Source organism: Homo sapiens, chromosome 15 (genome assembly GCF_000001405.40).
Source record: "Homo sapiens chromosome 15, GRCh38.p14 Primary Assembly".
Lineage (NCBI taxonomy): Eukaryota > Metazoa > Chordata > Mammalia > Primates > Hominidae > Homo > Homo sapiens.
Genome location: NC_000015.10, coordinates 28,944,961 through 28,966,312, shown reverse-complemented (window position 1 = coordinate 28,966,312; position 21,352 = coordinate 28,944,961). Strand labels below are relative to the sequence as shown.

General features: G+C 47.0%; 1 protein-coding gene across 31 annotated transcripts in view, besides 4 other annotated features; it reads right to left on the bottom strand.

The window, feature by feature from the left end:
- Positions 1-21,352, bottom strand: part of APBA2 (amyloid beta precursor protein binding family A member 2) — a 232,342-nt gene that overhangs the window by 152,003 nt on the left and 58,987 nt on the right. The gene's annotated exons all lie outside the window — the stretch shown is intronic.
- Positions 10,402-10,915: an enhancer, noted in NCBI's record as "H3K4me1 hESC enhancer chr15:29247601-29248114 (GRCh37/hg19 assembly coordinates)". NCBI's record gives its function as "activates a minimal SCP1, AML or CMV promoter by ChIP-STARR-seq in naive H9 embryonic stem cells {active_cell/tissue: H9 hESC(naive)}" and the evidence as "EXISTENCE:reporter gene assay evidence [ECO:0000049][PMID:30033119]".
- Positions 10,928-11,427: an enhancer, noted in NCBI's record as "H3K4me1 hESC enhancer chr15:29247089-29247588 (GRCh37/hg19 assembly coordinates)". NCBI's record gives its function as "activates a minimal SCP1, AML or CMV promoter by ChIP-STARR-seq in primed H9 embryonic stem cells {active_cell/tissue: H9 hESC(primed)}" and the evidence as "EXISTENCE:reporter gene assay evidence [ECO:0000049][PMID:30033119]".
- Positions 11,428-11,929: an enhancer, noted in NCBI's record as "H3K4me1 hESC enhancer chr15:29246587-29247088 (GRCh37/hg19 assembly coordinates)". NCBI's record gives its function as "activates a minimal SCP1, AML or CMV promoter by ChIP-STARR-seq in primed H9 embryonic stem cells {active_cell/tissue: H9 hESC(primed)}" and the evidence as "EXISTENCE:reporter gene assay evidence [ECO:0000049][PMID:30033119]".
- Positions 17,360-17,860: an enhancer, noted in NCBI's record as "H3K4me1 hESC enhancer chr15:29240656-29241156 (GRCh37/hg19 assembly coordinates)". NCBI's record gives its function as "activates a minimal SCP1, AML or CMV promoter by ChIP-STARR-seq in naive H9 embryonic stem cells {active_cell/tissue: H9 hESC(naive)}" and the evidence as "EXISTENCE:reporter gene assay evidence [ECO:0000049][PMID:30033119]".

Here is a 21,352-nt window from a genome sequence, read left to right as displayed (position 1 = left end):
ATAATATTTGGGGATGTCAGTACCCACTCTGAGCAACTGACACAACTACTGGACAGAAGATCAGCAAAGATACAGAAGTGTGCAACACCATCCAACAAAAAGATCAAATTGACATTTATAGAAAATTCAACCCAAAAACTGCAGAATACACATTCTTTTCAATTGTCCATGGAACATACACTCAGATAGACCATATCCTGGGTCACAAAAAAAAGCCTTAATAAATTCAAAAAAATTAAAATCATGCAGAATATGTTGACCAAAATGGACTCCAACTAGAAATCAATGACAAAAAAACTACAGGAAAATCTCCAAATACTTGGAAATTAACCAACACACTTCTAACTAATCCATAGGTCAAAGGGGAAATCTCAAGGGAAATTTTAAACTATATAGAACTGCACTAAAATGACAACACGACATACCAAGTTGGTAGGATGCAGCTCAGACAGTGCTGAGAGGAAAACATATAGTTCAGTAAGGTTTCAGGGTACAAGATCAACATTCAAAAACTGATTGCATGTCTATACACTAATAACAAAGAAGTGGAAATCAAGACTGTTAAATGCAACACCATTTAAAGTTGCTCTAAAGATAACAAGAAGATACTTATGAATATATCTAACAAAATATGTACAGGATCTATATAAAATAAAAATTACAAAATGACAAGGAAGGAAATCAAAGACCTAAATACTGAAGAGACATACTCATGGACTGGAACGCTCAACATAGTTAAAAGGTCGATTCTGCCTAAATTGACTGACAGGCTTAACAAAAGTCCTGTCAAACTTTGTAAGGTATTTTGTAGATGCAAACAAACTTATTCTAAAATTTATTAGAAAGAGAAAAGCCTGAGAATAGCCAAATAACTTTGAAAAAGGAGAATAAAATTGGGGAAATCACCCTGCCTGATATTAAGGCTTCCTACAGAGATATAGTAATCAAGACAGTGTGATATAGGCAAAGGGAGAGACACAGAGATCAAATGGAATGGAGTAGAGAGCCCAGGAAAAATGATCCCTACAAATATGCCCAACTGATTTGTCACAAGGAGCAAAAGTAATTCCATGAAGGAGGGACAGCCTTTTCAATTAATGGCGCTGGAGTATTTGCACATCTATAGGCAAAAAAAGAAAAAAGAAATTTGACATAAATTTCATACCTTATACAAAAACTAACGCAAAATGAATCAAGGACTTAAATATAAAACTATAAGACATGTAGAAAAAAAAAATCAAAGGAAAGAGCTTTGGGACCTTAATGATTAGGCAAAGAGTTCCTAGACATACACCAAACACAATATCCATAAAAGGAAAAAATTTGATAAAACTTTGACCTCCTCAAAATTAAAAACTTTCATTCTGTCAAGGGTCAAGTTAAGATAACAGAAAAAAAAATTATACTCTGGGAGAAATTATTTGCAAATCACGTACCTAACAAAGGACTTGTATCTAGAATATATAAACAGCCCTTAAAACTCAACAATTAAAAAAAAAATCTAATTAGAAAATGAGCAAAAGTGGGCCAGGTGCGGTGGCTCATGCCTGTAATCCCAGCACTTTCGGAGGCCGAGGTGGGCTGATCACCTGAGGTCAGGAGTTCAAGACCAGCCTGGCCAACATGGTGAAACCCCATCTCTACTAAAAATACAAAAATTAGCCAGGCGTGGTGGCAGGCGCCTGTAATCCCAGCTACTCGGGAGGCTGAGGCAGGAGAATCACTTGAATCTAGGAGGCGGAGGTTGCAGTGAGCCAAGTTCGTGCCACTGCACTACAGCCTGGAAGACAAGAGCAAGACTTCGTCTCAAAAAAAAAAAAAAAATGAGCAAAAGTGATGAACAGATATTTCACCCGTGAAGATACACAGATGGCAAATAATCATATGAAAAGATCCCCAACATTATTAGGCATCAGAAAAATGCAATCTAAACCACAACTAGATATCACTACACACCTATGAGAATAGCTAAAATAAAAAACAGTGATAACACCAAATGCTGGCAAGGATGTGGAGAAACTGAATCATCCATACATTGCTAATGGGAATATAAAATGGTACAGCCACTCTGGAAAATAGTTTGGCAACTCCTTTAAAAGTAAAAATGAATTTACCATGCAATCCAGCAATTGTAGATAATTGATCATAGAGGAATAAAAACTTGTTTTCACATAGAAACTTGTAAGTGAATGTTCATATAGCAGATCTGGGTTCATAACAGCCCCAAACTGGAAACTCCAAATGTCCTCCAGTGGTTGCCATAGGTTAGGAATGATGGAAGAGGGACTGTGCATGTGGCTACAATGGGGTAGCATGAGGCAGTCCTTTGCTGATGATACAATTAAATATCTTGATTGTGGTGGTGGTTACATGAAGTTGCACATGCAATTGGACAGAATCACACACATACACACACACATACATACATTATAACTACTGGAGTCTGACTAGTTTCTGTTGACTACATCACTGTCAGTTTCCTGGTTTGACTATTGTACTATCGTTATGCATAATGTTAACATTGAAGCGGGGCTAAGTGAAGAGTGTTCAGGATCTTCTTGAATATTTCTTTGCAACCTCCTGTGAATCTAAAAATATTTCAAAATAAAAAGTAAAAAACAAGAGTATATCAACTCCCCCCAAATTCCTTGAGATTTATATTCTAAAACAAGCCTATTTGTTGGATTATGTTGTCAAAGAGACCTTGGTCATAGCCCGTGTTTAGTGGACTGTGGCCGGCTTTCTCACCCACTTCTGCTGGTAACAGAAGTAAGTCACAGCTGAGTTCAAATTCCGACTCTGGCACCTGTTAGCTGTGTGGCTTGGAGAACCCATCTGGAAGGTTCTCATCAGTCCTCCACTTCTCATCTTTCAGGTGGGTGGGGAGGATGAAAGGACATCTTTCAGGCAAGGTCCTCAGCAATGTGCTGGGCACAGGGAAGGCGCCTCACTGGCTGAGGATCTTCAACAATGCCCCTGCCGGGCCTGAGCTGCATGACTTTCCTTTCCATTCCTAAAGCACCTGAGTTAACAGAAACATCTCCAACAGAAGGGCATCCCTCCTTCCCAACTCTAGGAAGACCTATACACTGAAAATACCACGTCCCACATCAGGCCAGACCAAACAAACAAACGTAATTAGAAAAATATTCTTTAAAATATGAACCTGATAACCAGCTAAAAAATTCACACCAGGCCTTCTTCACTAAAGGCTTTAGGTCTGGTCCTCTCTGCCACAGCATCCCATTCAGTCCCCAGTGCACCTGCCACCCACCTAGTGCCCCACCCAGAGTTTTCAGCCCTGGATTGCCACCAAGGTCTCCAGGCAACTTTCAAAACATACTGATATCTGTGCAGGTGGTATAATGGTGAGTGTAGCTGTCTTCCACACCATACTGATATATCTGTATGCAAAGTCCCTGCCTTGTCCAGGAAGCGGTTAAAGTACCAATTTAAAGAAGACCAGCATCACTAGCATCTAATGAGTCTGCAGATCATAACCTCTAGGACAACCTAAAATAATAAATTAACACATACTTAAAGCTAGTGGAAGAGCAATGGGAAATAAAACTGCTTTACTCTTAAAAGGCAAGGAAGTTAGGCTGGGCCATGGTGGCTCACACTGTAATCCCAGCATTTTGGGAGGCAGAGGTGGGCAGATGGCTTGAGCCCAGGAGTTCGAGACAAGCCTGGGCAACATGGCAAAATCTGTCTTTATTATTATTATTACTATTATTATTATTTTTTGAGACGGAGTCTCACTGTCGCCAGGCTGGAGTGCAGTGGCGCGATCTCTGCTCACTGTAACCTCCGCCTCCTGGGTTCAAGCGATTCCCCTGCCTCAGCCTCCTGAGTAGCTGGGACTACAGGCGCCCGCCACCATGCCCAGTTAATTTTGTATTTTTAGTAGAGATGGGGTTTCACCATGTTGGCCAGGATGGTCTCAATCTCCTGACCTCGTGAACTGCCCACCTCTGCATCCCAAAGTGCTGGGATTACAGGCGTGAGCCACCGCGCCCAGCCGAAACCCATCTTTATTATTAAAAAATATATACAATTATAATTTTTTAAAGACAAGGAAATTATCAAAGATAACTAGAATCAGGTCAGAAGGTCTCAGAGGCCAATATGAAGACACTACCACCAGCCACAATGAACCTCAATGAGGATAATGATTGCAGTGGTTTGAAACCTATGACACACGTTCACGCCCCAGGAGTTCACGACGATAGATTAAAATAAATTTTAAAAAACCACCTTTGGAAGGTCATGGGAAACAAATTCATCATCTTCAAAACTGGTAAATGAAGTAGAAGAATCACATGCCACCCGGCCTTTTCTCTCTCAACTGTCCCACTGGGTGACCACAAAATGGATAAAGGGAGGTATCTCTTTAGAGAAGCAACAAGCTGAGAAGTAAAAAGAAAATGATAGAATTAGAGTATCACTTCATTTAAAAATATGCTTAAAAATACTAACGTCCGGGATCTATACCCGAGACTGATTAAATCCAAACCTCCAGGAGTGGAGCCCAGGCACCTGTCCTTTAGAAATGGCAGCTGGAAATCTGCAGTCAGAGTTGAGAAGCGCTGGGTGTCCCTGCAGTTCCCTTCAATGCCCTCACCTGTGACAGGCTTCTCCTTCCATTGGCGCCTCAGTCACCCGCCCGGCCGCTCCCCCGGGATCCTGTTCCTCCACCAGGAGTCCCCTGCAGCTGTCTCTCCTTACCAAAGACACTCCGTCATTCACATCCAGCTCAGAGTCCACTTCCTCCAAGAAGACTCCCTTGATTTTCACAAAGCTGAACTGAGTGGCTTCCCTGGCTTTCCTGAGATAGAACTTGGGCCCCACACAGTTCACCCTCCGTCAGCACGGAGGACTTCTAGTGAATGTCGCAGTGGCTCAGGCACACGACGCACTTTTAGAACCCTCATCACCCTGAAGGCTCCTCATGGCTGCCTGCAGCCAATCCCCACTGACGCCCCAGACCCAAGCAGGCCCTCATCTGCTTTCCATCTCTGTCATTAGGCCCTTTCTAGAAACGTCCTATACATGGAATTGCACCACATAGTCTTTCATGTCTGGCTTCCGTCAGTCAGCACACTGTTTCTGAGTGAACTAGGTATTTTTAAGCGTATATGGGGATTTGGTATTTAAAGGAATCCTGGATGAACTTAACAGTAAGCAAATGAATCACTTCCCGGTGTGACTCATCATCTCCCTGGGTCTTCACTGTGTAAGAATGATGGGTGTCGGCTAGGTGCGGTGGCTCACGCCTGTAATCCCAGCACTCTGGGAGGCTGAGGCAGGTGAATCACCTGAGGTCGGGAGTTCGAGACCAGCCTGACCAACATGGAGAAACCCTGTCTCTACTAAAAATACAAAATTAGCCAGGCATGGTGGTGCACGCCTGTAATCCCAGCTACTCGGGAGGCTGAGGCAGGAGAATCATTTGAACCTGGGAGGCGGAGGTTGCGGCGAGCCGAGATCACACCACTGCACTCCAGCCTGGGTGACAGTGTGACACTCCGTCTCAAAAAAAAAAAAAAAAAGAATGATGGGTGCATCCTGGTTCCTCTCCCAGGGGTGGTCTGAATCCTGGTCCACATGATAGGTTGGCTCTGACGTGGGCAAAGCTTCTCATTCCATTTTCATCCATTTATTCCACAAACCCTTCCCATACCTGAAGCCTCAGTTCCTAAAGGGGAACCTAGGAGGGTGTGAGAGTCCATCTGCCCCCCGCAGACCACCAGCATTATGTGTGACCACCCACCAGCGAGGGTTTCTAAGGTAGACAGATGTCATATGATTATGATTATGAGAATTCAAAGTGCTCTTTTTTTTTTTTTTGAGACAAGGTCTTGCTTTATCACCCAGACTGGAATACAGTGGCATGATCATAGCTTACTGCAGCCTCAACCTCTCAGGCTCAGGCAATCCTCCTGCCTCAGCCTCTAAGTAGCTGGGACTACAGGCATCCACCACCACACCCAGCTAATTTTAATATATTTTTTGTGGAGACAGGGGTCTTGCTGTGTTGCTCAGGCTGGTTTTGAACTCCTGGCCTCAAGCAGTACTCCTGCCTCTGCTTCCTGAACTGCTGGGATTACAGGCACGAGCCACTTCGCCCAGTCTCAAAGTGTCTTTTTTTTTTTTTTTTTTTTGAAACAAGGTCTCACTCTGTCACCTGGGCTGACTGAAGTGCAGTGGTGCAATCTCAGCTCACTGTAACCTCCGCCTCCTGGGCTCAAGCAATCCTCCCACCTCAGCCTCCCAAGTAGCTGGGACCACAGGCAACTGCCACCAGGCCCAGCTAATTGTTTGTATTTTTAGTAGAGATGGCGTTTCACCATGTTGCCCAGGCTGCTCTCAAATTCCTGGGTTCAAGTGATCCACCTGCCTCGGCCTCCCGAAGTGCTGGGATTACAGGCTCAAGCTCCCACACCCAGCCTCAAAGTGTTGTTAACTGAAGCTTGTCCTCATGAATTTTTCCAGTTTCCGTAGAGTGTCAGTTTCACAAGGGCAGGTGCTGCCTAGTTCTCTGCTATAGGCCCCATGCTCCCTGAACTTCGGGAGCAGTCCATGAAGATTGCTTAAAAACTGGAACTGCTGACACTGAACAATAGCACACAGGCACTGTATTAGTTTTCTAGGAATGCTATCACAAAGTACCACAGGCTAGGGGACTTAACCAACAGAAATGTATTTTCTTCCAGTTCTGGCGACTGGAAGTCGAGATTATGGTGTCAGCAGGGCTGGTTTCTCAGGAGGCCTCGCTCCTTGGCTCACATACGGCTGTCTTCCGCCATGTATGTACACGGCCATCCGTCTGTGCCTGTCTGTGTCTGAATCTCTTCTTACAAGAACATCAGTCAGATTGGATTAAGCTACCTTGATGATATCATTTTAACTCAGTTACCTCTTCAAAGACCCTCTCTCCAAATACAGTCACATTCTGAGGTCCTGGGGGTGAAGATTTCAACACATGAATTTTCAGGGATCACAATTCTCTCCGTTTTTACATATATTTGAATGCGGAGGCTCATGCCTGTAATCCCAGCACTTTGGGAGGCCGAGGCAGGTGGATCATGAGGTCAAGAGATCAAGACCGTCCTGGCCAACATGGTGAAACCCCGTCTCCACTAAAAATACAAAAATTAGCTGGGCATGGCGGCATGCACCTGCAGTCCCAGCTACTCGGGAGACTGAGGCAGGAGAATAGCTTTAACCCAGGAGGTGGAGGTTGCAGTGAACCAAGGTCGCACCACTGCACTCCAGCCTGGCGACAGAGGGAGATTCTGTATCAAAAAGAAGAGAAGAGAACAGAAGAGAAGAGAAGAGCCCTATAGAAGAAATAAACTTAAAATGAAGAGATTTGTTTAATGAATAGTTACTGAACCACCAAAGCAGTACTAAAAACAAGACTATAGCCAAGTAAGGAAAACTTGGAAATTTTCTGATATTAAAAAGGCATTTCTGCAGTCAAAAAAAAAAAAGTTGGGAATAATGCTTAAAAACAACGACCCTCCTGCTTTGGAAGTATAATGAGGTCCACAGAGTCTGAAGTTGTCTCCTGAAATGTAAACAGCTCTGGATTTGATAAGCACTGGAAAACACAGAGGCTGTTAAAGCCAGGCAGAGATGCAGGGTTCATGAGTTCTCATTACCTCCCTGCCCCAGTGGGGACAGGCCTCAGACACGCACAAGCCAGAGCTCTGTGCCGCTGACAAAATGAAGCCATTACCAGCTGATAATGAACTCTTCAGCAAGAGATTTACCTACAGAAAAGTTCAGCCCCTTCGCCAAATCTCGAAACTGCTGGAGATACTAAGAAGCATGCAGAATTATCCCAAAACGCTACACTTTCATCTTCACCTATCTGTGCACTTAAAATACTTTTCAGGTTCCTCCTGGATCAGTGAGGACAGGCTAGGCTGTGCTGTGACAACAAACAGCTCCCACGCCACAGGGCCTGGGCCCAGTAATGGTTTCTGTCTTGCTCACTCAAAGTCCACTGTGAGTCCAAAGCAAATAACAGCCACGTTGCTATTATGGCCCCTCCTCCTAGGCATGTGCTTCTAGGACCGATGTGACTGGAGAAAGGACAGCATAGAAAGTCCCTTCCAGCTTCTACCCACAAGTCACTTCTGCTTACATGTCATTGGCTGAAGCAAGGCACATGGTCTTATCTAACTTTGAGAAAGCAGAGAGTGCAATCCTCTCATGTTCCCAGGAGCATCGAAAATACTACTGGGCAGTGCAAGTGCTGGCCACTTCTGCAAAGACACCACAGCAAGGGACACGTCCTCCAAATGCTCCCCCGCCTGTCTCGGCTCCTCTGACTTCAACCCAGTCGCAGCAGGACACAGTCATAGGCCAAATGTGGTGGGCTTGGTGAAGTACAGGCCACACATCAAACCAGATGGTGCTCCCTTCTGCCTTGGGGATGGCACCCTGGACATATTGTGCTCCCACAGAAGCCACCAAAGTAGCATGGGGGAGGCCTGATGTGCAGGTGCAAGAGACAGCGTTCCCATCACCCCGAACCTGATGCACAGCACCACCCGTCGCCCTCTCCTACAGCCCTCGGCACGCGCCTCCCCACCACAGAGCCCCTGCTCACCAGGCCACAGTGCTCCCACACAGGAGAGGTGCTCCACACCATCGTGCATCAGGAAAACGCCATCCAAACCACAGAGAGCTGCTACCCCACTCCCATCAGGGTGGCCACGATTGAAAAACCAGAAAATAACAAGTGTTGGTGAGGATGTGGAGAAAACTGGAACCCTTGTACACGGTGGGTAGGAATGTAAAATGGTGTGCAGCCCCTTTGGAAAATGCTATCCTTAAAACATTAAAAATAGAATCACCATATGATCTAGGAATGACTCCACTTCTGGGGGTATGCCCGAAGGAAGTGAAAACAAGAGCTCAGGCCGGGCGCAGTAGCTCACGCCTGTAATCAATCCCAGCACTTTGGGAGGCCGAGGCGGGCGGATCACGAGGTCAGGAGATTGAGACCATCGTGGCTAACACAGTGAAACCCCGTCTCTACTAAAAATACTTAAAAAAATTAGCCAGGCACGGTGGCGGGCGCCTGTAGTCCCAGCTACTCGGGAGGCTGAGGCAGGAGAATGGCGTGAACCCGGGAGGCGGAGCTTGCAGTGAGCTGAGATTGCACCACTGCACTCCAGCCTGGGTGACAGAACGAGACTCCATCTCAAAAGAAAAAGAAAAAAAAAGAAAAAGAAAACAAGAGCTCAAAGAGATTGTACCCCCATGTTCACAGCAGCATGATTCACAACAGCCAAGAGGTAAAAGCAACCCAAGCATCCTTCACCAGATGAACGATCAACAAAATGTGGTCTATTCATACAAGGAAGTATTCCTCGACCTTAACAGACAAGGAGACTGTGACACGTGCTACACTACGACGTGTGTGCACCGTGAGGACGTTGAGAGTGAAATATGCCAGTCACAAAATATAAATCCTATACAATTGCTCTCATACGAGGCACCTGAAGTCGTCAAAATCATAGACAGAAAGTACAATGGTGGGTGCCAGGGGGTGAGGGGAGGAGGAATGGGAGTTAAGTGTTTAATGGGGACAGAGTTTCAGTTTTGCAGGGTGAGGAGAGCTCTGGAGGTGGATGGGGTGATGGTTGCACAACCGTGTAAATGTACTTAATGCGACTGAGCTCTACACTTAAACATGGTTCCAGAAGGTGAATCCTATGTTATGTGTATTTTACACAATTTTTTAAATAAAATAGTATTTAATTTTAAAAAGTTTATAGTAGCTTCCATGACCCACTGGATAAAGTCCAAATATCTAAACGTGGGACTGAAAGCCTCCAAAACCCGGCTGTCGCCTGCTCCATTCTGACACTGGCTATTCCCTGACTGCCTCTGCATCTGTCCAGCCTCCACGCCTTTCCTCATGCAGTTCCTCCTGCTTGGGACCCCACCCCATCTGTTTTCCCTCCTTGCATCTCAATCCAGCCCACCCATGGGGTCCATGGCACTCGTGCTTTGTAAAACACCATGGTGTACAACTGCATATGCCAGCCCCTGCCTGCCCTAGAGACAGCAAGCCCCAGAGGGCTGGGAGGGCTAGGAGGGCTCTGCCCCACCCTTCTGTTACCACAGCACATAGCAGGCTGCCCTGCACATGGTAACCAACCACATTCTCTACTGCTGAGGATGACCAGCTGGATGATAAAAACTAGAAACCACAGACCGGAGTCCTCAGGCCAGAGCTGGACCGGATGTGATGTGCATACAAACCCCCAGTCTCGTTAACATGCAGGTTCCAAGTCAGCAGAGCCAGGGTGGGGCCTGAGACTGTGCATTTCTCACAGCTCCTCCATGGTTGCTGAGCTACGGGTCCACGGCCCTGCCTGCAGGAGCAAGCAACCGAGGGCCAGAAGCAACACCTACCTCCAAGCACAAGGTTCTGCCCCAACACACCCAGTGCAATGGAACTGTGCTCCCTGGCCCAAGGCCTTGGCCCGACCCTCAGGGAACCCACCAAGGCCCCCCATGCCTCCCTAGGCACCTGGGAGGAGCTTTGATGAACACCCTTTCTAATGCAAATCACTCATATGTTCCTGCAGATGGAACCAGCTTTTGTGTTTAACTTCATTGTTCTCTACAGTTAAATAAATGACTATAAAACTGGCTTCTTAGACCCTCTTAATTACTCAGAAGAAATCCCACAAAAGATGCATTTCCCTGAACAAAGCAGGTGAGCAACTACAATAACATTTCTTGAACAGAGCTGATGTTCCTCCTGGGGTAATTTAAATAAGCTACAATGGTACAATCATTAAAATTGATTACACAAGCCTAAAAAAGCCACAGGATGGGAATCAGAGGACAGGGTTCCAGTACTGGCTGTTTGGTGAATTCACTGGTATGACCTTAGCAAGACCCTTAGCTCTTTGCAGCTCAGGTTTCTCCTCCAGAACAGGAAGTACGGTTGAGAAAGCTGTGGCTTACAGACTGCTGGGGACCCACAGGCAGATCGCCAAGTGAGTTTATGGGGCAATGAAACCGAAGACCACACAAAACGCATCACCTCTAATGAGAGTAAGAAACTGTCTCCTGAAACTTCTGCTTGAGGTCTATAATGTAGAGGTATCCTAGGTGGTTAAGTAAAATGTATTTTTTACGGGGTTGAAAATCAAACTGTCTGACAAAGTCCTATAATTCTAGGCTCTGTTCACTGCAACAAATACAGATGCGCACAGCGTCGGAAAGGCCAGGGGACTGGGTGAACCGTGAGCAATGGGGCTGGGGGTGGGCCGGCTATGCCTCTGGCCCTGCTCTCTGCATAGGAAACCAACCCTACCAGTCGGTGTCCACATGCACATGGCCCTGAGGGCCAGAGTGAGGGACCCTCCTGGACAGAAATCCACAGAGCACACACATGGTCACCAAGCAGTCAGGTGTTAGAAAGGTTCCCAGGTTTGGAGGATGCCAAAGCAGATGGGGAAAGAAATTCCCTGATTGTCCTCCAGGTGTGCCCAGGACTAGCAGGAGGCAGGTGAGAGGCCAGAGTGCAGCATGGCAGGAGGCCCTCACTCCTAGATGTCAACTGTGAATTTGCTGCAGCCTGACCGTGAGCGCCGTCTTCAAGAAGATGTCAGGACTGTGAGCCCAGGGCTGAAGAAGGCAGACCAAGCCCCCAACCCCCACAGGCTTCCTGTCTGGAGTGGCACAGACAACAATAAACAAATAAGCTACAGAATTAATGTGGGGGTGCCTGTGCATGGTGGGGGGTTACCAGCTCAGGGATGTGGGCCAGTACCAAAGTCCGCAGAAGCCACCTGCAGAAGGGAACGTTGGAACCAACACGAAGAAGGTGATAAAGTTATTAGCCAGGCAGGATTTTGCAGGATAGAGTTTTAAGAAATAAAGTCAGTTGAGGAGGGGCTTCCAGCATTTACTCTTAATGGGATGGCCAGGGAACGGAGAGCTCTGGTCGGAGGAGCATTCTCATTTAAGTTTGTATGCAATAAACCAGCTGCTGAGCAGACACAGACTTGGGTGGGAAGGTATGCAGTCAGTGTGGAAACAGGAACCATCAGGAAACTGGCACAGCAATCTAGCAAGGAGATGACAGGCTCTCATCGCACGGCAGCGGTGCCGGTGTGACCATGGGCAGCTTACGGAACAGATTCCATGTGGGGTTTAAGAGAGACAGGAGTCAAGGTTGGCTCCAAGTCTATGGTCTAGGTGTCCGGAAGCATGGAGCTGCCATTTACTGAGATGTGGAGATTGGGGTTGAGATGGCCAGGGACAGCTTGGTGCCTGTTGTGTGGGGACGTCAATTAGAACTCTAAGGGAAAGCGCTGGGTGAGCAACAGGGTGTACAGTCTGGAGGTCAGAAGAGAAATCAGAGCTAAAAGATAAATGTGAGCTCCTTGTGCCACAAGTCGGAATGAGGTCAACCATGGTGGGAGTGTGGACCGAGCGGAGAAGAGGGGCATGGACTGACCGCAGGGACACTCTGACACTCACGGGTCAGTAAGGGGACTGAGCAAAGTCCAGTGAAGCAGGAAGAAAATCCCAAGCACAGAGTGCCCCACAAGCCAAGGGAAGAAGGTGTTTCCTAGAGGGGACGACTGTGGCAAACACTGCTGGTCAGTCACATGGGAAGGGACCGAGAGCTGACCACTGGATCTGGAGACTTGGAGTCTTACAGATCTTGATCTCTAAGTGATGGGGTCAAAAGTGTCAGGAGAGGTGTCTGTGGAAGGGGCAAAAGTCCGACTGGAGCGGGTATAAGAGAGAACGGGAAGGGAGGAAATGGAGAAAGCCACTGCAGACAACTCTTTCCAGAAGTTCTACAGCAAAACAAAGCACAGAAATAGGCCAGCAGCAGGGGGTGGGGCGGGGGGAGTGGGAGCAAGAGACTTCTGTTCTCTTTCCTATGATGGGAGCGGAAGGCAGCTGTTTCAATGCTGAGTGTGAAGGCCAAGATCCCATGGACCACAGGCAATGCTGCTGGAGGGCAGCGTGAAGCTGAGAGGCAGCATCTGGTGCTAAAATAAGGAGGGGCTGACTTTTGAGCCAACTATACATTATTTCCAACTCGGGAGGAGAGGAGGATTCTGCACAAACGCTGGTAGGGAGTGATGAGGGGGTGGGAGTCTCAACCAGCCATATGGGTCCTCATTTCATCAAAACTCCTGGAGCCTGCAAAACCCAGATGGAGACTGGGATTCCAGGCTAAGGGAGACACCAGGACTTCCAGGTCCCAGGGAAGCAACAGGGTCACAGAGTAACCAACAAGACCCGCCTGTTCTTCCTTTTCCTGATGAATCTTGACATTTATGTCATACAAAGAGCATGGACTAGGGCTCTGAAGGTACAAATGTGAGTCGATCTCCATTAGCTGCTTGAAATTAGCAAAAATCACATCATTGCTCTACATTATCAGTTTCTCTATCTATACAATGGAGATAGTGACTCTTGCTTTTCTCAGGATTGCTAAGAAGATAAATACATGTAAAATGTCTCAGTTAATGAAAATTCAAGTTGTAGGAACACAGTAAGGTATCATTTCTACAAAGTTTGAAAATATCATAACAATGGGATATATCATTTAGGCATACATGCAGTGTAAAAATAAAACATGCCTCCAAAAAACAAACAGTAAATTCAATTTACTGGGTTTCACAGGGGTGGCTGGGGAGGCATGCTCATGGAAGGCTGAATCATATTTGTACATGTCTTAAACTGGATAGCAGGTACCCCAGATACTCCTTTTTTCTTAAACAGAGTCTTGGTCTGTTAGCCAGGATGGAATGCAGTGGTATAATCATGGCTCACTGCAGCCTCAACTTCCCAGGCTCAAGTGATCCTCTTGCCTCTGCCTCCCACGGAGGTGGGACCACTGGTGCGCGTCACCACACCTGGCTTTTTTTTTTAATTTTTTTGTAGAGACAAGGTCACTCTATGCTACCCAGACTGTTCTTGAACTCCTGGGCTCAAGCAATCCTCCTGCCTCAGGCTCTCAAAGTCATTCCTCTTATTATTCTCTGTATTTGTGTATACTTGGAAAATATTCTTTAAGCCTTCCAAGTCTTTTTTGTTGTTGCTGCTCCTGTCTACACAGTAAGTTGTCCAAGTTTTCCTTTCTACTATGTGACACGTGGTCATGGTTCCCATGAGTGATCAGAAGGCTAGGTCCAGGGCTTCGCCGCCAGATGGGGTCGTGCATTCAAAAAAAAGCTATGGGACACAAAAATTAGCCAGGCGTGGTGGTGCATGCCTATAATCCCAGCTACTCAGGAGGCTGAGGCAAGAGAATCCCTTGAACCCATGAGGTGGAGATTACAGTGAGACAAGATTGTGCCATTCACTCCAGCTTGAGCAACAGAGGGAGACTCTGTCTTAAAAAAAAAAAAAAAAAAAAAAAAAAGGCTGAGTGCAGTGGGCTCACGCCTGTAATCCCAGCACTTTGGGAGGCCAAGGCGGATGGATCATGAGGTCAAGAGATCAAGACCATCCTGGCCAACATGGTGAAACTCTGTCTACTAAAAGTACAAAAATTAGCTGGGTGTGGTGGCACACGCCTGTAGTCCCAGCTACTAGGGAGGCTGAGGCGGGAAAGTTGCTTGAATTTGGGAGGCGGAGGTTGCAGTGAGTGGAGATCGTGCCACTGCACTCCAGCCTGGCAACAGAGCAAGGCTTTGTCTCAAAAAATAAAAAAATAAAAAAAAACTATGGGAGATACATATGTATACACAGATTAGCATACATGCATATTTCCTAGCTCTGTCTGCTGAGAGGGCCTGGAAGCAATGTACCTCGGTGACAAGAAGAACCCTGTCTCCAGACCTTGGTTTCTAGATACCATTCTTCAATAAAATAAGGCAGGGATCCTTGCAGAAATAGCTGAGTCCAGGACTGGGTAGGAAAAATTCAAGATGAGCCTGAGTATCTTGTGCCAGAAAGAGGTACAGTTTTCTTTGGGTATCTGTAAGGGATTGGTTATCTAGGCCCCCCTGTAGATACCATAATCCTCAATGCTCAAGTCCCTTCTATAAAATGGTGTAGAATCTGCATATAACCTATGCACATTCTTCAATATATTTTAAATCCTTTCTAGATTATTTATAATACCTAGTACAATGTAAATGCTATATAAATCGTTGTTATACTGTATTGTTTAAGGAATGATGACAAGACAAAAAGTCTGTTCAGTAGAGATGCAACCATCTATTTTTCTCCCAGATATTTCCCATCTAAGGTTGGTTGAATCCACAGATGCAGAACTCACGGATATGGCCAACTGACTGTACTCAAAAAAACAAAAAGGTAGGGATCTCTCTAAGGGACATGGGATGCCACCTGAAAGAGCTTCATATAGTCAAAGCTGGGACAGTTTGAGCAATAAAATAAATAACACAGCACTGGATTATAAAGCAAGGTATAAATTATATATCCACAAATCCATATTGATGTAAATGTTTGAATAAATAAATGGGGGAGAATAGATAAGTCCCCCATACAGAAATATTCCAAATAATTTATACAGATATCCCCACCCCCCATGAAGGAGTGGAGTGTAACTCCACATTCCTTAAGCATGGGCTCTGCACATCGACCTCCTTCCAGGGAGGACTATGGAAAGAAGGTGGGGTAATCTTTTTTTGCTTTCTTTTTTTTTTTTTGAGACAGAATCTCACTCTGTCGCCTAGGGTGGAGTGCAGTGGCGTGATCTCAGCTCACTGCAAGCTCTGCCTCCTGGGTTCACGCCATTCTCCTGCCTCAGTCTCCCAAGTAGCTGGGACTACAGGTGCCCACCACCACGCCTGGCTAATTTTTTGTATTTTTAATAGAGACGGGGTTTCACCATGTTAGCCAAGATGGTCTCGATCTCCTGACCTCATGATCCACCCACTCGGCCTCCCAAAGTGCTGGGATTACAGGCATGAGCCACCGCACCCCGCTGAAGGTGGGGTAATCTTACAGTGAGCAACTGGCACATGCTACCTCAGCCAGCTGATCGGGGTCAACATCGATAGTTATGAGTCATATTGATATCATGCAACATTGATGTATGTTGAAAATGGTGCTTCGCTTCTGTGGTTTTCCTCCCCCAAACCCATAACTCCAGTCTAACCATGAGAAGAACAGCAGATAAACCCAAATCGAAGGATATTCACAAAGACCTGTACTCTTGAAAACTATCAAGGTCATTAAAAACAAGGAAAGCTGAAAAACTGTCACAGACCAGAGGAGGCTAAGGAGACGCAAGGACTATAGGTAACGTAGTGGCCTGGACAGGCTCCTGGGACAGAAAAAAAACATTAAGCAAAAACTAAGGAAATTGGAATAAACTGCAGAGTTTAGTTCATAGCAATGGACCCACGTTGGTTCCTCAGTTATGCCAAATGCACCGTGTGATGTAAGATGTTAACGAGAGAGAAGACTGGAGGAAGCAAGCATGGGAATTCTCTGCAGTCTTTGCAACTTTTTTATAACTTTAAAGCTGTTCTAGAATTAAAAGTTTACTAACAACAACAAGAGGCCGGGTGTGGTAACTCACGCCTGAAATCCCAGCACTTTGGGAGGTGGAGGCATGAGGATCACTTGAGCCCAGGAGTTCGAGAACAGTCTGGGCAATACAGTGAGACCCCGTTTCTACAAAACATTTAAAAATTAGCCAGGCATGGTGGTGCTCACCTGAAGTCCCATCTAATTGGGAGGCTGAGGTGGGAGGATCGCTTGAGCCTGGGAGGCAGAGGCTGCAGTGAGCTGAAATCGTGCCACTGCACTCCAGCCTGGGTGACAGAGTGAGACCCTGTCTCAAAAAAACAACAGAAGCAATGGAATAGGCACGGCTCCCAGGAGGGCAGGCACCTCTCCTCCGTGATGCGTAGGAACTGGCTGGTTAACGCATCCATCCATGCACCCTGGAAAGTGCTCTTCCGCAGATACCCCAGGGGCTTCTGCCCGGCCCTGACTTGCTGCCTCCACTGAATCTTGGTCTTCTGGAAGCTCTGCTCCTTGCAAGTATTCCTCTCCCTGATGCACACATGAATACACACCTGCCCAAGTCACTCTCTGGGTGGCTTGCTTTTCGGAAGGTTTCAGTGGCACAGCAGTCTGTATCACAGCAATGCAAACAACGGCACATGAACGGACAACCTGTCCGGGTGATTGATTCCTTTACCACCCTGCCATGACGCTCAGCCAGCCTTGCTCTCCTCCCTTCTCGGTGTGTTCTCCTCACTTGAACAAGAAACAAAACAACTAAAAGCGAAGCCAAACCTCTGCCATTTCTTACACAGAGCCCCTGAACCCCGTGGTGTTTCCTCGAGCTGGACTTGCTGGCTGCCCCACCCCCCGCTTTACAACTCTGCAGCCTTGGACGCCCACCCCTGCCTATCCTCACCAACCCCCCAGCCTCTCACTCAGCAACATTTACTGAGCAGCTGCTCTGTGCCTGGCCTGGGACATTCAAGATATTCCACCATGTGGCTCATTCCCAAACAACTGCTTCCTGCCCCTATTTGCAGTGAGCACTAGCAAAGATGCCGCCGCAAGGCCCTAAAAACCACAACCGCAGGGCACAGACTGTATCAGCGTTTACAGTATCTGCCTATAATAAAACAACAGGTACAGTAAGACCACAAAACACTGACACAGACAGAACACGACAGAAGAAAGCGAAAAGAAATTGCTGTTAAATATTCCAGGGCGTAGCCGTAAGCAAAGGCTGTGGCTCTGACAGCCAGTGAAGCTGCGGGGACAAAACTGGACACACCAGGACTCTCCAACAGGCGTGTCCCCATCACCTACCAAACTCTGAAGTTACACAGGGCAGAGAGCTAACATGTCAGTCCAAAAATCTCTACGAAAGGGGACTTTACCTCAGTCTCAAGCTCCCAGAGTTTTAATTTTTTTTTTTTTCCAAAAATAATCAGAACTCACCAGTGGCCAAAGGGAAGAAGGATATGGGGTGGAAGGAGGTGGCCATTATGGCAAAGAAAGGAAAAGGAAAATTTCTGTCTTGCAAGAAAGAAAGCGCCGTGGCCTCAGCCCAAAGGGCCCCTCTTAGGAGCTGGTGACCCAGCAAACCCTGAACCTCTGTGAGCCTCTGATTCCTTCTCTACATGAACTAACCCCTGTGGGGATGCTCTGAACATCTAATGAAACCACAGATGCAAATGCCCCCTGAAAACAGTAGACTCTATACATGGGAATAACCACATCATCACCTCTCTGGATGGTGCAAGGACCCAGAAGTCCATGGCCCTGGGGTGGAGAACTGGCTCCCTAACACCCTGCAAGGCCAACCTAGAGCCACGACTTGGCTCTGAGTCTCCTAACACGAGGGATTGTTTGTTAGTGCTCCTTGAAAAGCTGCTTTATTTATAAATAAGTTGCCTGACAGCAAATCTTGAAGCAGAGACATTAGTCAGTTTTGAAAATTTCCACTTCAAACATTAGCAATTTAGAGGAAAAACCCATAAATGAGGTAGTATGTAGTCCTGGTACTGAGTAAAAAGTCAATCGTTCACTCCCAGTGAGATTTACAAGGTGGTTTGAGTCTCTAGAGGCGCTTTGCTGAGGCCTCCTGATTTTAAGGCTTAGTTCTGTGATGACCCAGGCAAGGAGCTCTGGTTCCCAGGAGGCTGTGGGGCTGCCTCTCCATTCTAGATGATGGGCCTGGGCTACGGGCCTCTCATGTCACAGATTCCAGTGGTGGAGCCGCTCCAAAGATAGGAAGAAGCCTGCAGAAGCCAGGCCTGAGCACAGCCACCTCATCCCCTAGCCTGAGAGGCAGCTCAAGGAACACAGCACTCATGACAGGACAGGTCAGGCCAGGACAGGTGATGGCTCCCTGATGGCTCTGGCTCCAAAAGAAGCCGAGAGAACGCACAGCCTCTCAAGGATACTCCAGCCTCTGTCCACCTGCACACACACCAGGCCACGCCCACGAGGACGGCCAGTCAGCATGCAGCCAATACACCCACAGAGGGATGGGGAGCAGCCCTCAGTGCCAGCTCCAACAGGCCCACTGCAGGTCCTGTCACTGCACCCAAGGAGCTGCCTTCCATTTCACCTGACATTTCCACTAAGGGCCCAGCGTTTATCATTCCAGAAGAGCAGCAGGCAGAACCTTCACCTCCCAAGAGCTGCAAGTGCGCTGTGGCAGGAAAAGAAGATCTGGCGTCTGAAGTCAGCTCCTGCTCTCCAGGAAAAGAGGGACGATGACATAGGACTTGAGCAAAATGAGAGCCCCGTGATGGGAGAGAACAACTGATCAATCTTGCTGCAATGGAAAGGCTTGGTCCCTGAGTCTCTGTGTTAGCTTCCTATGGCTGCTGTGACAAGTCACCATAAATCTAGTGACTTCAGACAACACCAACTTGCTCTCTTACAGTTCTATAGTTCAGAAATCCCACAGAGGGCTGAGTGCAGTGGCTCACGCCTATAATCCCAGCACTTGGCGAGGCTGAGGCAGGTGGATCCCTTGAGCCCAGGAGTTCAAGAACAGCCTAGGCAATATAGCAAGACCTTATCTTTACAAAAAAATGCAAAAATTAGCCAGACATGGTGGCATGTGCCTGTATCCCAGCTACATGGGTGGTTGAGGCACGAAAATGGCTTGAACCTAAGAGGTGGAGGTTGCAGTGAGCTGAGATGGCGCCACTGCACTCCAGCCTGGATGACAGAGCAAGATCCTGTCTCAAAAAAAAGAAAAGAAAAGAAAGAAAATAAAAAGAAAGGAATCCCACGCAGGTCTCCTTGGGCTAAGGTCATGGTGTCGACTGGCCTGGTTCTTTACGGAGGCTCTAGGCAAGAATCTGTTTCCTTGCCTTTTCTGGCTTCTAGAAGCCACCTGCATTCCTTGGCTTGCAGCCGCTTCCTCCATCTTCAAAGTGCATCACTTCAATCTCCACTTCCATCGTCACAGCACCTTCTCCTCTGACAATTAACTCCTCCAGCTTCCTTCTTATAAGGGTCACCATGATTATAAGGGCCCACCTGAATAATCCAGAATAATCTCTCCATCTCAAGATCCATAACTTAATCAGATCTGCAAAGTCCTTTCTGTCACATAAAGTAACAGATTTACAGGCGCCACAGCTAGGGTGTGGATATCTCTGAAGACCATTTTCCTGTCTACCACAGTCTCTGAATGACAAACGCTCTTTAAATTGGAATCCTATCTGCAACAAAATCAAGATCTAAATTAAGATTTTGAAACTCATTAGGGAGAGACACATGCATGAAGAATGCAACTGGGCCGCCCACATTTGCATAACAGTAATAGGCTTGTTATCCACTGCTTCAACCCGTCACACCCAGTGTGGGCACAAACACCAAACAGCCTTATGAGGCGGAACCCTCATACACTGTCGGCCCAGAGTCCTCCTCCTCATCACGACTCTATCTAAGACGGCTGTAAACACAGGATCTCCTCTGTGGAGAGTGTGTTTTCCCTCCATCAATCTTCCTGGGAACAGCAACAAAATGTAAGGAGCGGCACCGCCTGTAATCCCAGCACTTTGGGAGGCCGAGGTAGGCTGATCACCTGAGGTCAGGAGTTACCAGCCTGGCTAACATGTTAAAACCCTGTCTCTACTAAAAATACAAAAATTAGCCAGGCGGGGGGCAGGCGCCTGTAATCCCAGTTACTCAGGAGGCTGAGGCAGGAGAATCGCTTGAACTTGGGAGGCCGAGGTTGCAGTGAACCAAGATTGGCCACTGCACTCTAGCCTGGGCAACAGAGCAAGACTCCATCTCAAAAAAAAAAAAAAAATCAATGAGCGGGGATCCTGATTTTCAGATGTCTAGCCACCAATAACCCTAAACACACAAAACTGCACTTCTCCCTTTTTTGTAACGTGAAATTTTCATAACAAACCCCCAAATCCTGAGTGCTGACAAAACCATCCCAACGACATCACCCAGAGTGGTTATTTCCTGCGCCTTGGACAGCTGCGAGAATCAATGTGATTTCAAACACGAACAACTGTGAGTGGCCAAGGTCACCCTGAGATGTCCTGAGTTTTGACTTACATTGCTTCTGACTTTCACTTTTTAATGGTCGGCTGAATACTTAGGCTCTACCAGTCTCCTTCCCTCTGGTCGTCCCCGCGCCAAACAGAAACCTTGTTTTTCACAGAGTCCTGACAGTGACGCCGCGGCTGGCTGTGAGTTGCCAGGTGGATCTCCGCATGCTCTGCTGCACCTCCTGTGTGGCTGTGGTGTGCTGGGAAGAAGCATCAGGCTCCCCATGAACAAGGAAGGCCCAGCTCTTCAGGGCAAAGTTCAAATGAAGGAGGAAGCTCACTGCCTCCCTAGGCAAAGCGGGGGCAAG